At 41.2% G+C, this 17,538-nt stretch overlaps 1 protein-coding gene, 1 long non-coding RNA gene and 1 pseudogene across 3 annotated transcripts in view, besides 1 other annotated feature; all 3 read left to right on the top strand.

The window, feature by feature from the left end:
• The window catches only part of TNFSF4 (TNF superfamily member 4), a 277,864-nt gene that overhangs the window by 75,008 nt on the left and 185,318 nt on the right, over positions 1 to 17,538 (top strand). The gene's annotated exons all lie outside the window — the stretch shown is intronic.
• LOC100506023 (uncharacterized) overlaps positions 1 to 17,538 on the top strand; it is a 242,096-nt gene that overhangs the window by 101,430 nt on the left and 123,128 nt on the right. The window lies entirely within an intron of this gene.
• On the top strand, positions 11,835 to 13,348 carry LOC646870 (centrosomal protein 57kDa pseudogene; annotated as a pseudogene).
• Positions 14,915 to 14,964: an enhancer, noted in NCBI's record as "active region_2103". NCBI's record gives its function as "activates an Ori minimal core promoter by ATAC-STARR-seq in GM12878 lymphoblastoid cells {active_cell/tissue: GM12878}" and the evidence as "EXISTENCE:reporter gene assay evidence [ECO:0000049][PMID:35858748]".

Genomic DNA, 17,538 nt, shown 5'->3' with positions numbered 1-17,538 from the left:
TTTGTCCTATCAGAGTGCCCTTTTTTCAGTCCTCCCTGCGATTGGCTACTTTTAGGATCCGGCTGATTGGTGCATTTTACAGAGTGCTGATTGGTGCATTTTACAGAGCACTGATTGGTGCATTTTACAGAGTGCTGATTGGTGCATTTTACAATCCCCTTGCTAGCTACAGAGTGCTGATTGGTGAGTTTTACAATGCTAGCTACAGAGTGCTGATTGATGCATTTTACAATCCTCTTGTAAGACAGAAAAGTTCCTGAAGTCCCCACTTGACCCAGGAAATCCAGCTGGCTTCACCTCTCAATCCCCTCTCTAAACAGGACACCCCAACTGCTGTTGGGAATTGGGTGATGACTGCTCTAGCTACTTCCTGCTGGATAGGGGCAAAGAGGGGGCCTTGCAGTTGTAGCATCCTCCAGAGGGGAACTCTCTAGGCCAGTCAAAGGGTCAGTGGGTCAGTCCAGGGGTCCTTGGTAGAAGTTGTGAGTTGAGCTCATTTGGGGTTCCATTTATAAGACCATCTGTAGCTTGATGGCCTTGATTCTGGAGGAAACAAATTTGACAAGGAGGCTAAAAATACAGGATCCGAAGGCGAGTAATAGCAAGATGGCTGTCACAGGACCTAGAAAGGGGAGAAGCCATGTTGCCCAACTCCAGAGGTTGGTTTAAGAGTTTGAAAGTGAGGAGGTCTAGGCCTCAGCGGTTTTGGAGAGTCACTGCTGCCAAAGAGTCTATTTGGGATTGCAGAGTAAGGATAGATCTTGTTATCTCTTGCAAACTGAGAAATCCTATGAGAGTATGTGGTAGTAGGATAATGAGGTACATAAACTGGCTATTCCAGTTCCTGTAGCAGTGGTTATTCCTAACCCTATAAGTAGGGGTATTGTATTGCCCTGCACTGATGGACTTGAGCTTTGAGGGGCACTGATAGGGTCTGCTTTATTTTTATCCTGGCAGGAGCCACAGTATATAGTCCTACTGCAAAGAGTATGGTTAGTGTGCTGCTTAATAATGTGATGAAACAGTAAAAGGATTGCAGTAAAGGGGCAAAGAGAGGTGTTAAAGATTTATGTATGTTTTCACTTATCTTTTTTAAGTCGGAAGGGGTTTTTCCTCAGAATCAGCTGTAGGAGTCTTTTCAGTCTGGGATATTTCCTTCCAAAATAGGAGACACAAGTCCTCCAATGGTTCACAGGTGTATCGAGGCTGGTCTGGCTGATCTTGGGTCTCCTGAGCTTACAGTCATGCAGGTTCCTCAGGGGGTGTCCAAAGTTTAACTCCGGTGTGGTGAATCTAAGATTTCACTCCTGCCACCTTAACTGCAGTGGGGGTAGAGAGGATTACCGAGTATGGTCCTTCCCACAAGAAATCCATAGATGGGGAGGTAGAGGGGAGGGACTTGACCAACACTAGATCTCCTGGTTGGAACAACTCTGTTCCCTTGTCTCTGTGATATCCTTTGGGTAGGTTCTTAAGGTTTTGTTGATATTTTGCCAAGGAAGTTATTTCCTTGACCAAGTTGGCCATTTCCTGATCAAGTAGGAGGTCATTTGTGAGAAAAAGTCACCCATATAGCATATCATATTGACTGAGCCCCATGTTGTGAGGAGAATTTCGGATTTTTAACAAGGGCATGGGCAAGAGAGTAGGCCATGGGAGATGAGTTTCTTGTGTTAGTTTCCTTAAGTGCCTCTTGAGTGTTTCATTTGCCTTCTCGACCTTCTCTGAGGATTGTGGCCTGCAGGTGCAGTGAAGGTGATATTGTATCCCTAGCACCCTGGAAATTCCCTGAGTTGCTGTGGCTTTAAAAGCCAGACCATTGTCACTTTATAATCTTTGGGGAAGCTCAAATCTAGGAATTATTTCATGAATTAGGTCTTTAACTACTTCCTGAGCCTTCTCTGTCTTGCAGGGGCAGGCTTCTATGCAATTTGTAAAGGTGTCAGCACAGACCAACAAGTATTGAAATCCCCTTGACTTAGTCATATGGTTGAAGTCTAACTGCCAGTCCTCTCTGGGATAGTGCCCTATTCTTTGTTCCCCCAGAGGGGCCTTATGATGGACCAAGGGATTATTCCTTTGGCACACCTCGCAGGCTTTGATTACTTATTGGATGGTCCAGAGGAGATTTGGCCCTGTACAAAGGGATTTGGCCATTTGATGAGTGTTCTCTATACCCGTGTGAAAAGTTTGGTGGAGGGTCTTAAGTATTTTCCACTGGCTGGCTTGGGGTATGAGTACTTTTCCCTCTTCTGTCATTAACCACCCTGAGGAGAGAAAACTATGCCCCCGTGAAAGTCCCCATTCTGTTTCAGTTGGGGAATACTGGGGCTTAGTCTCTTGGAGGGGGTTGTTCCATACCAAGGGTCCTTCCATAGGTATTTCTAATGGGAGGTTCCTCCTGGCAGCAATTTTGGCCTCAGCATCTGCCCGATGGTTTCCTTCTGCCTTTTCTCCTACACCTTTTTGATGGCTTTGGCAGTGTAAGACTGCCACCTCCTTGGGTTTTTGTACTTTGTGCAATAACTTCATGATTTTCTTGTGGTATTTATTGGGGGTTCCCCCAGAGGTTAGGAACTCCCTTTCTTTCCATATTGCAGCATGGGCATGTAGGATTAGATAAGCATACTTGCTATATGTATACACATTTATTCTTTTTCCCTTTCTCCGTTCTAAGGCTCAGGTAAGTGCCACTAGTTCTGCTAACTGGGTGCTGGTCCCTGGGGGAAGAGGCTTACTTTCAAGTACTGTTACATCACTAACTATGGCATAACCTGCCCTTCGTATCCCATTCTCCACAAATGAACTTCCATCGGTATATAGGTTAAGGTCAGGATTAGCTAAGGGGACTTCTAAGAGATCCTCCTGGGTGGCATAAGTCTGGGCTACAATTTGTTGTCCGTCATGCTTGATTGGTTCCCCATCCTCTGGGAGAAAAGTAGCAGGGTTAAGGGCCACACACATGTGTATTTGAAGCACCAGTCCCTCAAGGAGTAGCGCCTGGTATCTAAGCAGTTTGTTGTATGATAGCCATAAATTTCCTCTGGCACCTAGTATGCCATTTACATCATGAGTAGTCCAGACAGTGAGATTCTTTCCTTGTATTATTTTGATGGCCTCTGATACTAAGATGGCCACCACTGCAACTACCTGTAAACAGTGAGGCCAGCCTTTTGCTACTACATCAATTTCCTTACTTAGGTATGCCACTGGTTGTGGGGTTGTCCCACGAGTCTGAGTAAGGACTCCAAGAGCTATTCCCACTCTCTCTGTGATGTATAAATATAAGTTTTGTCCTGTGGGAAGGCTTAAGTCTGGATCTTGTACTAGGGCCTGCTTTAAGGTTTTGAAGTCTGTTTCTGCCTCTGGTTCCCATTCTACTAGATGAGTATTTGCCCTCTGGGTCTCCTTGATTAGAGTATGGAGTGGCCTGGCCATCTTGCTGTATCCGGGGATCCATAGTCAGCAAAAACCAGTGATCCCAAGGAACCCCTGCAACTGTTTTAATGTCTTAGGGTGAGGACAAGCCAGTATAGGCTGTCTTCATTCTTTGCTGAGGGTGTTGGTTCCTCTGGCTAAGATTAGGCCTAGATATTTGACTTGTTGTAGGCAGAGCTGGGCCTTCAATTTAGACGCCTCGTACCCTTGATTAGCTAGAAAGTTCAAGTGATCTAGAGTAGCCTGCTGGCATGAGGCTTCTGAACTGGTAGCCAAAAGTAAATAATCCACATACTGAAGGACCAGAGTGCCTGGACTTGAGAAGTGGCCTAGATCTTGGGCCAGTGCCTGACCAAACAGATTAGGGCTATCCCTAAACCCTTGAGGCAAGACCGTCCATGTAAGTTGGGACGTGTGGTCTGTGGGATCCTCAAACGCAAAGAGGAACTGGGAGCCAGAATTCATGGGAATGCAGAAGAAGGCATCCTTGAGGTCCAGAACAGTGAACCATTCTGCTTCCTCTGGTATTTGAGAAAGCAGGGTATAGGGGTTGGGTACAGCTGCATATAGAGGAATTACTGCCTCATTGATTAGTCTAAGATCTTGCACTAGTCTCCCCTAACCATTTGGTTTTTTTACTCCTAGATTTGGGGTGTGGCAGGGACTGTTGCATTTTATTACTAAGGCTTGAACTTTTAAATGTCTGACAATATCCTGTAACCCTTTATGAGCTTCAGGTCTTAAGGGATATTGCCTTTGATAAGGAAAAGGAGGGGGGTCTTTTAGCCTGATTTGGACTAGGCAGGCATTTTTGCCCTTCTGAATTTTCCTACCAATGCCCAGACTTCAGGGTTGATTCCCTCCTCAAGCAGGGGACAACAAATGGGTAACTTTTTCCTCATATTCATATAGATAATAGCTCCAGCTTTGGCTAATATATCCCTCCCTAATAAGGGTGTGGGACTTACAGGCATAACAAGAAAGGCATGTGAAAAAAGCAAAGTCTGTCAATTACAACTGAGGAGGTGGGAGAAATACCTGGTTACAGGCTGTCCCAGGATTCCTCAGATGGTAACGGGCCTTGAGGACAGCCGTCCAGCGCAGGAGATTAACACTGAGAAGGCCACACCAGTGTCCAGGAGGAAGTCAATTTCCTGGCCCTCAATGGTCAAACGTACCTGGGGCTCAGTGAGGGTGATGACATGAGCTGGTGCTTGCCCTGGGCACCCTCAGTCCTGTTGTTGGATCATCTGGTTGGGGGCTTCTGGCCCAGAGAACCATTGCAGTCTGGGGCAGTGCATCTTCCAGTGACTGCCTCAGCATAGGGGACGTGGATGAGGGGGTGGCTTGTTTCTCATTGGACAATCTTTTTTAAAGTGTCCTTGTAAACCACACTGATAACAAGCCCTACTGGGTGATTGGCCTGCTCCATTTTCTGTCCTCTCTGAACCACCAAGGTTTGTTTGTCTGAGGGCCATGACTAAGGGCCATGACTAAGGGCCTTTCTCTGATCTCACTTTTCCTTTTCAGCCTGTTCCTCTTGGTCCCTATTATAGAATACTGATGTTGCCAGGTTTAATAACGCCTCCAGATTTTGTTCAGGGCCCAGGGCTCGCTTTTGGAGCTTTCTCCTGATATCTGTGGCTGATTGGGTAATAAACTTATCTTTTAGGATCAATTGACCCTCAAGGGAGTCAGGTGACAGGGGAGTATATATTCTTAAGGCCTCCCATAGCCACTTGAGGGAGGCAGAAGGATTTTCTTCTTTTCCCTGAGTTATGGTGGGCATCATTGAATAATTAATGGGCTTTTTCCTAATTCTTCTTAGTCTTTCTAGAGCACATGTCAACAGATTTTTGTGACTCCAGTCGCAATGATATGAGTCTAGGTCCCAGTGGGGATCCATACTGGGGATGGCTTGCTGAACAACAGAGAATTCTCCCCTTTCTTCGGCTGTCATTGTATCATTTACTTGACTAAGATACCAGGTATCTCCAAACTCTCAGGCTGCAGCTAAAGCCGCATTCTTTTCATTAAAGGCCAGGGTTTGATCTAACAATAGCATGACATCTCTCCAAGTGAGATTGAAGGTTTGCCCTAGACCCTGTAGGACATCTGTATATCTATCAGGATCATCTGAAAGCTTCGCCAGGTCTGCCTTGATCTGCTTTAAATCAGAGAGGGAGAAGGGGATATGTACTCGGGTTGGGCCAAATTCCCCTCCCCCTACAGCTTGAAGGGGACATAACTGATAGCCCAGGGTTTTCTGTGGTCCCTTGGAGAGTCCTTTGCTTGTTTCCTTCTGGGTGGAGGAGATTAGAGGAGGCTCATCATTAATAGGAAGAGGAGCTATAGGGAGGCTAGGAAATGGGGGTAAGCTGAGAGGTCCTCCTGTGGGATGTAAATTGCAAGCTTTGCATAGTGTGTATTCTCCTTCAGTGAAAAAAAAAGCTTGGACATAAAGTATTTCACTCCATTTTCCTTCTCTCTTACAGAAAAGGTCAAGCTGCAGGATAGTATTGTAATTTATGCTCCCTTCAGGTGGCCATTTTTCCCCATCAGAGGAAGAATATTGGGGCCAGGTTGTATTGCAGAAAAAAATAAGCCACTTCTTTTTCAGGGTTTATGAGTCCAGTTGGTCCCAATGGCTTAGGATGCATTTCAAGGGTGAGCCTGTTGATGCCTGAGTGTTTCCCATCTGAAAGAAAAAAACCACCCATAGTTTTGGTCTGTTTTTTTTCCTCCCACCCAAGAACCTGCAACGGTCCCTGGACCCTGCTGTTCAGAATAGTTGCGCTCACTGAAGCAGCAGCGGAAACACTAGTTTTCCTCCTAGACCACAAAGAGGACTGAGGAAGGTCAGATTCAGTGGCCCTTACCGAAGCATTCTCAAAAATCTGCACCCTTGCCTTTCCTCTTAGACCACAAAGAGGACCAAGAAAAGTCAGATTTAGTTGTCCTTACTGACGCATTCTCAAAAACCTGTTAGAGTCCTAAGCCTTTTCTTCTGTTAGTATTGGGACCTTACACTTGTCCTATAAAGATGATGTGCCTCAAAATGGAGTGGAGGGCCATACCCTGAGGGAGGGAAGGGATCTCCAGGGTGGGAAGAGTGATGCCTTTTGTCCTCACTTCTCATCATATGAATGGGAATGATATCCCCCCCAATTTTGGAGTCTATAATTTCTGAGGCTCCCCATATCCTAGCTTTGGGAATAGCCTTTTTTAGGCCTGCTAGTCTGAGGAGGGATCCTAAAATTCCAGATAGTCCCCCCACTGATGGGGCTTTGGGCAATAATTATATCTTTCTTATTGGTGAGCCTGGGTGCCTAAAGAAGGGAACAGAGTCCTGAAATTTATACTAGAAATCATTCTTATAGGATAAACTAGAAGAGCGCCAGGGACAGGGAGTGGTTTTTAGAAACAGGACTAGCCTTGGAGAAGAGAGGTGGGAGGAAGTTTGTCTGACAGGCATCAGGACCTAGGAGGCAAGGGTCAGGATAGATAGGATAGATGGGCTAGTCTCTCTTGGGTGATGTAACTTTGAGAGTTCTGCTCATGGCTGCAGGGTCAACCAACTTGTTGTCGGGACCCCGAAGCTGAATGGCTTTCTTCTCTGTTGACCCTTGGCTCAGCCCAGAAGTACAGGGAAAGCGGAATCTGGTTCCAGGAAAACCAACGCTCCCAACTCCAAAGAGTCAGGGATGGTTAGAGAGCCCTTTCCCAGAAAGCCTGACACCCGTGTCTTTAGTCAGGCCCTGTGCTAGTCACTTTTAACTGGCCAACAGGTGCCTGGTATTTAGCCCCCGAATTCTGAGGAAAAACAGGACAGAATAGCAAGCAACAGGGGTCCAATGGTACTCACTGCATGGCAATATTCCGGAGGAGCCCACAAGATGTGTCTGGAGTTGGTTCTGCTGGTGGTTTTGTGGTCTCGCTGACTTCAAGAATGGAACCATGGACCTTTGCAGTGAGTGTTACAGCTCTTAAAGATGGTATGGACCCAAAGAGTGAGTGGTAGCAAAGTTTATTGTGAAGAGTGAAAGAACAAAGCTTCCACAGTGTGGAAGGGGACCTGAGTGGATTGCTGCTGCTGAATGGGGGTGGCCAACTTTTATTCCCTTATTTGTCCCCTCGCGTGTTCCATTTTTGTCCTATTAGAGTGACTTTTTCAATCCTCCCTGTGATTGGCTACTTTTAGGATCCTGCTGATTGGTGCGTTTTACAGAGTGCTGATTGGTGCATTTTACAGAGCACTGATTGATGCATTTTACAATCCCTTTGCTAGCTACAGAGTGCTGATTGGTCCATTTTACAATCCTAGCTACAGAGTGCTGATTGGTGCCTCTTACAATCCTCTTGTAAGACAGAAAAGTTCCCCAAGTCCCCACTCAACCCAGCAAGTCCAGCTGGCTTCACCTCTCAGTATGAAATGCTGTAGAGACAGGTGTAGGTCAAGGAGGCAGGCCCTCATAGGCCACATTAGGGTTTTATTCCATTGGGGAATTTTTAGACAGTTCTGATGATCCTTTTCCCTGAGTGTCCTCCTAAGCAGGGTCTTATGTTCAGAGGCAGATTTTCCATGAAGTTAAAGAAGCTTGAACTTCAGGGTCCTTCATGGCATGAGCTCCTTAGAGGGACACTGGCAGTGGGTTCACATGATCTTATGTTTTTGCAAAATTTGCAAAAAGAAGTTATTTTTACTCCATAAACCCCCTGACTCTTAACACTACAACTTCTCCTCTGTCAAAAGTCCTTTCTGTTGGTAGGGTTGGAAGTGAGCATTTTTGGGAGGTTAAGTTGAGGATTCATTTAATTTAGGTTAAGTGGGAGGTATTTATGTATTTTACTGTCATTTCCACGTGTAGTGAATTATTACTACGTGATCTTGCATAGGAATGGTTTCTAGAAAACGGAATCCTCTGTGCTGATTCATCTGGCACTGTAACACAAAGAGATAGGTTCGGAGGCTGTATCGTCAGATGAATGTGTGCCATGGTAAAATATACAAATGTTGATCCATGGATGGGAGACAAGATATGGAGTGTATGGGGCTGGAAGCTACTCTGTGGAAAGTCCTTGCAGTCGTGAGAGTGTGGAATTGTAGCAAAGAGTTTAGTTCTCTGAATGATTCAGTCCAGGTCTCAGAAATGCCCATTGTTAACACTATCTAACATGAAGGGATGTGTGATGGAGAAGTCAGTATGGGAAGACACAGTGTTATTAACCATTTGTCATAAAATTATCTGACTTTTCCAAACTGGACAAATGGATAATCATGTGTACTCATGCGAGGGCCCCTCCCAGGGGCTTAGAAGTAGCCTGTAAAGCGAGGGCCCAGAATACAAAGATCTTGAAAATGGCCATTCTCTTATGTCAGGAATTTATTTTTTAGGCAGCATATATAGTTATACTGCATCACATACTTTTCAAAGAAAATTGTGTCCAATCAAATTTATGCAAATTCTTGTGTTTATAGGACATATATATATTTTAATTTTTAAGTTTTAATTTTTGTGGGTACATATTCAGTGCATATGTTTGTGGGTTGCATGAGATATTTTGATACAGGCATACAGTGCACAATGATCACATCAGGGTAAATAGGATATCCATTACCTCAAGCATTTATCCTTTGTGTTTCAAACAGTCCAATTATACTCCTTTAGTTATTTTAAAATGAACAATGAAATTATTTTTTACTATATTTACCCTGTTGTGCTATCAGATACTAGGTCTTATTTGTTTTTTCTAACTATTTTTTTTTGTACCCATTAACCATCCCCCTGTTTCCTTCAACCCCTCCATGTGGACTTCCCTCCCCAGCCTCTGGTAACCATCCTTTCACTCTCTATCTCCATGAATTCAATTATTTTAACTTTTTGCTCCCACAGATAAGTGAGAACATGCAATGTTTGTCTTTCTGTGCCTGGCTTATTTCACTTCCGTCTATGTTGTTGCAAATGACAGAATTTCATTCTTTTTTATGGCCAAATAGTGCTCCATTGTGGATATGTATTAATACCACATTTTCTTTATCCATTCATCTGTTGATAGACACTAGGTTGCTTCCAAATCTTGGCTATCATGAATGGTGCTGCAACAAACATGGGGGTGCAGATATCTCTTCGATATACTGATTTCCTTTCTTTTGGGTATATACTAGGAGTTGGATTCCTGGATCACATGGTACCTCTATTTTTAGTTTTTTGAGGAACCTCTAAATTGTTTTCCATAATGGTTTTACTAATTTACATTCCCACCAACAGTGTATGAGGGTTCTCTTTTCTCCACATCTTCACTAGCATTTGTTATTGCCTGTATAAGACATAAATCTTAAGCAGTATTACAAATAAAGAGTCTATATATGTGTGAACTTGCATATCTTATGCATACCAATATGCTATGAAACATCTTAATGTATTTGATAAATCTTGTCCTGACACAGTTTGGTGGTTCCATATGAAACATCATGCAGATCATACCCCAAAACATTTATTTTACCCAAAACCCAGTTATGTCATTAATAGAAAGAGGTAAATTTCATCAGAAGTAATGATCAACTCTTAGCTTGTTTGATGATTAAATTAAGAGAAATTAATTATTCAAACATAACTGGAAAATAAATTTCTTGCTGATTTGACACAACATATAAACAAAAAATAATCAAAAACTCACAAAATGCTACTACAATGAGGACACTGATGACAAATCAGTTAATGAATGATCTTAATGAATGATCGTTTAAGATTACTCACTCTACAAGAAACTTGAAGTGCCCTGAAATTTTACAGTTGATATATGAAAGACACTTGATAGAATTTCCCCTCATTATAGGACAATGATCCTAAACATTTTGCATGTCATTAACAATAATGAAATTTGAAGCAAAAAACCTTTTGAGACAGTCAATAATAAAAAACATATTTCCATAAATTGTGCTAGAGGAAACACTAAATAATGTTGCTTCTGTAGAAAATGATATTACAAAATTCTTGTTAAAAGAGCATCTAGCCAAAAAGTGTAAGAAAATAGTATTATAGAAATGTATTCTAAAAATAGCAACGTTAATAAAATTTGTTATTTTTCTGGATTATATCATTGTTGTGTTTGTTAGCATTCTTGTGTTTTTTTCTTTTTTCCAAGTGACTTCTCACCTAAGAATGATGCATTCTTTTTTCTGTCTTTTTTTTTTTTCCCTGTGACAGGGTCTCACACTGTTTCCCAGGCTGGAGTGCAGCAGCGCCATCATAGCTCATTGCAGCCTCAATACCTGGGCTCAGCCTCCTGAGTAGCTGGGCTTAGAGGCATGAGCTGCTATGTCTGGCTTGTTAGCGTTCTTGAACTTATTTTTTTGTGATTTCTTTTTCTAAATATTTAGCCTTATACCTGATTTTATATTCATAATTTTATATATTTTTTTCTTAAAATTGTGTAATTAAAATGGCAACTTGTACAAACTTGACTACTGCCCTGCCTGATATGACATTTAGATCCCCTTGAACAGTTAGTGGTATAATAGTGATGTGATGTTCCCATTTCCCTATATTTGTTGTAGAGTGGGAGAGACCAAAGAGTACCGAACACTGTTTTCTTACACTTTAAAGTGATATAATTAGTTTAATTGTAATGCGATCCTGATTGGATAACAAAATACATGCAACATAGTTTCAACTCCCTTAAGAAGTATTTTTGTTGATTTTTAAAATTGCAAAGGTAGTACAAATTATTTAAAAATTATAATACAGAAGTAACATAGCAAAAATACCATCCAGTTCCCCAGAGGAAACCATTGCTTATTATTAGGTGTGAGTTTTTTTCTTCACACTTTTTCTATGCATATACAAATTTACATCTGTGAATATGTATATATATGTGTGTGTGTATATATATATATATATATATACACATACACCCCAATATATATGTACACATACATCCATTTAAAGTTAAAAAATAAACTTAAAAACAAGATGATGAAATACTTACTTTTTTCTTTTTATTTTTTTGAACAATATGTTATGAACCCCATTCCACATCAGTACATATATATATATATATACCTAGTCTTCTTAAGAAATGCAAAATATAGATATAGTATAATTAAATTAATCCCCTATAGATAGACATTTAGGATATTTTTATTCTTTCCCTATTATAAACAATGCTAAACTGAAATCCATAAAAATATCTTTGTACACATTTATGAGTGTTTCTGGACATCAGATTCCTAGGAATTAAATTTCTGGATCAAAGGCTTTGGGTTTAAAAATATCTGTTATTTATTACCAAATTGTCCTTCAAAAAATGGTTGGCTTTCACATGGTCACAAAATTTATGATTAAGGCCAGACTGAGTTATGTGGTTGTCCCCAACAGACTAAGAAAGTGGCACCAGTGTGTGGCAGGGGTTTCTAAGCCCAGCACTAGCACCTTTGCCCCTTTCTATCAGGGGTTCAGCTTAGGATCACCCCTGGTGGGCAGCTCCTGAGTTTTGAAGGAGAGTACGAGAACCCAGATGTCTCAGACCTGTGGAGGCTCCCTGGGTGGCGTTGGTCTCTGCTGCTTCTGGTTCTCAGTTCTCAAACATCTTAACTGAACCATCAGGGCCTTAGGGAAGCCTGTTCAGCATTCTTCATCTCCAAATGTAGTACATCCATCCGATAAGCCTTTCCTTAAGAGTGATCTACGACACTCCCCAAATAAGCCTACACTTGCCTATCCAGAAAGCAACAGCAGAGCTATATTTTGTGCTCTTAAGAATCTTAAAGGTAAGATTTGATGCTTGGAACTTGAAATGATTCTGGCAGAAGAAAGTGTGAAAACCTTGTCTAGAGAAACAATTGAATCCAAGAAGGTACTGGATGGAGAGATATGGGAAAGGGAGAATTCAAAGAATGAAGAATCAAAGCACAATCAAGAACTGATATCTCAGTTGATAGCTGCAGAAAATAAATGTAATCTTTTAGGAAAACAATTGGAATACATGTGAAATATGATAAAGCATGCAGAAAGGGAGAGGACATCTGTCTTAGAGAAACAGGTTTCCCTAGAAAGAGAATGGCGATACAATCAAAGACATGTTTGGAGCCAACTTGAAAAATTGGATCTTTATGAATGGGAGTATAACTTTCCACAGTGCAGGCCCTTGCAGAAAGAAAAATGTAAGAGTTGGTAGCAAAACTCTGAAGAAGAACAGGAAAGGAAACATGTACAAACTAAGGCAGCTAAGTTACAGACTGGTCTAGAAACAAATAGACTTATTATTGAAGATAAGGCAAGTCCGCATTTTCCCAGTGCAAGAAGAATTTTAAAAAAAGTCAAAACCACAAGAAAAACTAAGTTCTAGGAACTATTTTGGTGCACGAGTACATTATAGATTATGCTTGGGTGATGTGCCATTTGTAGCTGGGAAGTCCACAAGTCTTAGCCATGCTGTGGCAGCCAATGTTCAGCTTGTCTTGCATTGCATCTAATGAAGCAACACAGTAAAGCTTTGTGCAGTGATCAGTCATTAGTGTTCCTTTGGCAAAGCAAGTATCTTCAAGATGTGTTGAAAGTAAGAAGTTGTCATTAATACCTCCCTCCTCTGACAGCATTAATGAGGAATTGTCAGAAGTCTTACAGACTTTACAGGATGAATGGACATAGGACCTTTAATCACCAGCAGCATGCAAAACTTACCCAGGAGTTGGCAACTGTTGAACTGAAAGACAACTTAGTGTGAGAATCGGAGGCATTAGTGGGAAGGATGGAGGCAAAAGCCAACCAAATAACTAAAGTTTGAAAATACCAAGCCCAGCTGGAGAAACAGAAGGTAGAGAAGCAGAAGAAGGAATTAAAAGCTACCAAAAAGACTCTGGATGAAGAAGGAAAGAGCAACAGCCATTCTTCTGGACCACAAATAAGAAGGCGTACAGTATGAGTGCAACATGAACTGTATACACAATTGTCATCATGTTGATGTGAATCATAATTTCAACTAGTTGAAGCCATGTTAACCGTTTATAAATTTGCCAATGAAGTCAATAAAGCATTTTTTTAAAAAAGAAAACACTTAAACTTTCCTTAACAGCCTGTTAACCAAGGCTTTCTTTATTATAAACTCTCAAAATTGCATTTCTAAATAGAACATGAATGTATTGATGATAAGAAAAAACTAGTAATTTAGTATTTAACTTATTTGCCATTCTCATGCTTACATAGAAATTAAGCCCAAGAAGACTGATTTTCCTCATGGTATATGATAAGATACTCCAAGAGTGCTAATGGACATGTTAGCCACATATTAGAGGAATTCCTTTATATGGCCCTCTTGGAATTGATGGAGATAGAGTTCTAGGATTGTATCCAGATATCCAGCATGAATTGTCATGGCTACCTAGGCACTAGGCATGTCAAACCTTTCTATAGTTAAAGCTTTTAATTTAGGATCCTTAAATAGATTTTGGAGTATTTGTGAATCTCCTGAAATTATATGTGCTTTTGGGGCCAGTTTCTGATGAGTAGGTTTGTAGCTTGATCAAATTCACAACAGTGAGTCCGTAGACCCAAGGAAAGTGAGAATCAGTGCTCTGGTGACATGGTAAATATGTGTCTCAACCATCCTTTTAACAATGAAAACTTTTGTTATCTATTTGTTTGGAAAAGAAAAAAAAAGAAAGTGTTACCTATGCATTCTTTTTTTTTGGAGATGGAGTCTTGCTCTGTCACCCAGGCTAGAGTGCAGTGGTGCTATCTCGGCTCACTGCAACCTCCGCCTTCTGGGTTCAAGTGATTCTTCTGCCTCAGCCTCCTGAGTAGCTGGGATTACAGGTGCATGCCACCACGCCCAGCTAATTTTTGTATTTTTAGTAGAGATGGGGTTTCACCATGTTGGCCAGGCTGGTCTTGACTTCTGACTTCAGATGATCCTCCCACCTATAAGTTGTTGGTCATACTTATGAAGAGGGGTGGCTCAGTGATGTGTGACAAAAGGGCAGAAAGGAGGGGTCTCTACAGCAGAGCTCTGCTGCTTCTCTCTCATCCTGAGCAATTCTGCTCTGGTCCAAATTTGTAGATCCACTCAGCATATCAAAAGCCCTGCAGTCATCTGGACCCACCTATTTTAAAAGGCAGTTTAACAAACATCTGGTGTTATTCAAGCATGCTTTTAAGGGGATTTCACCTCCCATTTCCTCCTTCACAAGAAGTTCCCAAATTATTCCTTGTAACCACATTCAGTAAGCTGCACAAGATGAGTTCTAGTACACATGATTTTCTTCATCTCTCTATCTTTCCAGGACTGTTGCCCCATGGTTAGTTTGGCTAGCCCCTTCACTTTCTCTGCCCATTTTCCATCATAGGGCTGTTCAGGCATCTCTTCTCAGCAGCCCGTGTGAAATGCCCCCTTTGCCTATCAGCAATGCATAGTGTAGGCATGTGTTGCCTTGCACCTTTTCTTGCAGCCTTGTTCTTGCTCACATGATGACTTTAATAATTTATGTGGGTTATTACTTCCCTTCCACCCCCTAATTTCTCACAAATGGGTTCCTTGCCCGCACAGTGAGTCCTGCTCTGAAGTTTCTTTTCCACAAGGGGCCCCTCAGTTTAGCTTCTTGTTGAAGTTCTTCTCTATTTCTTTGGACCTCTTCCTGTTTCTGTCACTTGCAGTACCATAGCTAAGTCTGCTATCTCCAGCTATCCACCTTTTGTAATTCAACAGTAAAAGCCAAGGTCATAAAAGCAACAAGCTGGTTGGATCTTCGCAGCTAGTCTCAGGATTTCTAGCTCTCTTTGGTAAATACAAATCAAGCATGGTAAGTAGAATTAACCATATCCCTTTGAAGGCAGTCTTTGATCTTCAAAATTGTCATATTTATTTTAACAACATGCTTAGCTATTGCAACCCACAGGTAGTGGGAGGAAATTTTTGAAAGGCTTTTCTGCCACAGTCAGCAGTGACTTGTCAGACAAACAACTTCTGAGGTGCAACTTTGGTCCTGACAGCTCTCATTCCATAAGGCACAGTCCAGGAGAATGGGAAGCCAGGAGACTTCAGAGAAAAGGTGTCTGTTTCATGGGCATATGCTCTTCACCTGTCAATAGACACTTTTAAGCAAGCATCCAAACAAAGGAGATGGATATAGTTCTCTCTCCAAGGGTAGAATCTGAACTGAGTCTGTGTTATCAGCCGGCTAGTTGGAATGGGGAGAAGCCAAGGATATTGATTAGCAGTATGGCTGCTGGCCTGTGTGGCCATCATAGCCAGGGTGGACAATATGATAATAGATATTGACCCTATGGTCATATAATCTGACCAATGTCCTTAGATCAGCAAGCTTCTCACTATGTGTTGTATAAAATACTGGTGTGCAGAGAATGAGATGTTGACTTCTTAATCCTCTGAGCCCAGGCAGGACCTGGAACATCAGGGAGCACGTGGGGTGCTCACCTTTGGCCTCAAGTAGCCTCTCCCATTTGCCCCCGTGTGCAGTACAAATAACATCACTTTCTCTATGTGTCCTGAAATGGAAAGATTGGAAACACTATCTTAGCAGACCTGCCCTTAAAGGCTAGTGGTTTAAGAAAGTATAAGGTTTAGGACAGATAGAGCATCCTAAGAAGGAAGCATGAAGGAAAATAAACATGAGAAGGAAACATGAAGGAAAATAATCCCAGAAAAGTGTAATCCAATATGCCAATGTGAAAATAGTAAAGAGAGGAAGGAGAATGCCATTGGATGGCTAAGGAAGTCAGCAGATGTAGTTTTTTTTTTTTTTTTTTTTTTTTTTTTTTTACAGCTGGTAAAAAGAAAGTCCTTGAATTTTTCTTTTTTCTTTTCTTTTTTTTTTTTTAAATATAAAACTCTTAGACTCTGACTGGCATTTGTTTATGCTTGTCTAAGAACTGTGTTTTAAAATCTTTTTATTCCAAACACCTAACACAGGGCCTATCACATATAAGTATTTATTGATCAAATGTTTGTTGAAATGACCAGGCGTGAAGTGACTGCAAAAGAAGAAACTAATTCATTCATTCAACTCAACAAACATTTTCTAGTTACTACTACGGGCTAGGCTTTGGACATTCAAATGAGTTAGAAATACCATAGTTTTCAAGGAATTTATAGTTTAGAAGATAAGGCATATTGATAATACATTATTACGTATGACATAACAGAGGCTGCACAAGATAAAGTTAAACGCCAGGAAGGGATAATCAATTTTATCCTGGAGAATGGTTAGGAAACCAGAGGAATGCTTTAATTGAGTTTATTTTTAAAGGTTGATTGAAATGTAATATACATGTATAGTAAATGTACAGCTTAATAAAATTTGACAGGTTGAACACACCATGTAAGCCAGGTGCCTAGAAAGATCTCTTATTTTTCTTCCTAGTTACTATCCATCAAAAGTAAGACCTATCTGACTTTAAACAGCATATAGCAGTGATGCCTGCAACTAGTGCCTTGTATAACAGGAATGACACAATATGTAAACTTTTCTGTCTGGCTTCTTTCAACAAACATTATGTCTGTGACATTCATCTATATTATTAGATATGAGTAAAGATCATTCAGTCTCATTGTATGATATTCCATTGTCAGAATATGCATGCATTCATTCCTCCATTTATTTACCTACTGTTTAGTGGACACTTTAAGTCTCTGACTGTTACATATAGTTCTGCTGTGAAATTCTAATACATGTGCTTTAATGAACATATGTATGCATTTTTGTTGAATGTACACCCAGGAGTGCAATCGTTTGTTCTTATGGTATATTAAGCTTTATAGTTACTTCCAAATAGTTTTCCAAAGTGGTTGTACTAACTTATACTCCCAGCAGCAGTCTATGAGGGTTCTGGTTGCTCCACTTCCTTGCAGACAATATTTTTTCTTTTCATTTTAGCAATTCTCATGGCACCATATTGTAGCTTAGCAGACTTTTGAAAGATGCATGGTATTTTATTAGGCAAATGGGGTGATAGAGCGAGTCCTGGGGAGGATCAAAAAAATAAGAAAGCAGGGAGCCTGTGGGAGTCCTCAGCAGCTCTCCTTGGAGGCACTAGGGGAGAATCTATTTCCTTGTGTTTTTCTAGCTTCAAGAAGCTGCCCAAA

The sequence above is a fragment of the Homo sapiens genome, chromosome 1 (genome assembly GCF_000001405.40).
Source record: "Homo sapiens chromosome 1, GRCh38.p14 Primary Assembly".
NCBI classification, from domain to species: Eukaryota; Metazoa; Chordata; class Mammalia; order Primates; family Hominidae; genus Homo; species Homo sapiens.
Note: the sequence above shows the minus strand (reverse complement) of the source record. Positions and strands in the feature narration are given on the sequence as shown.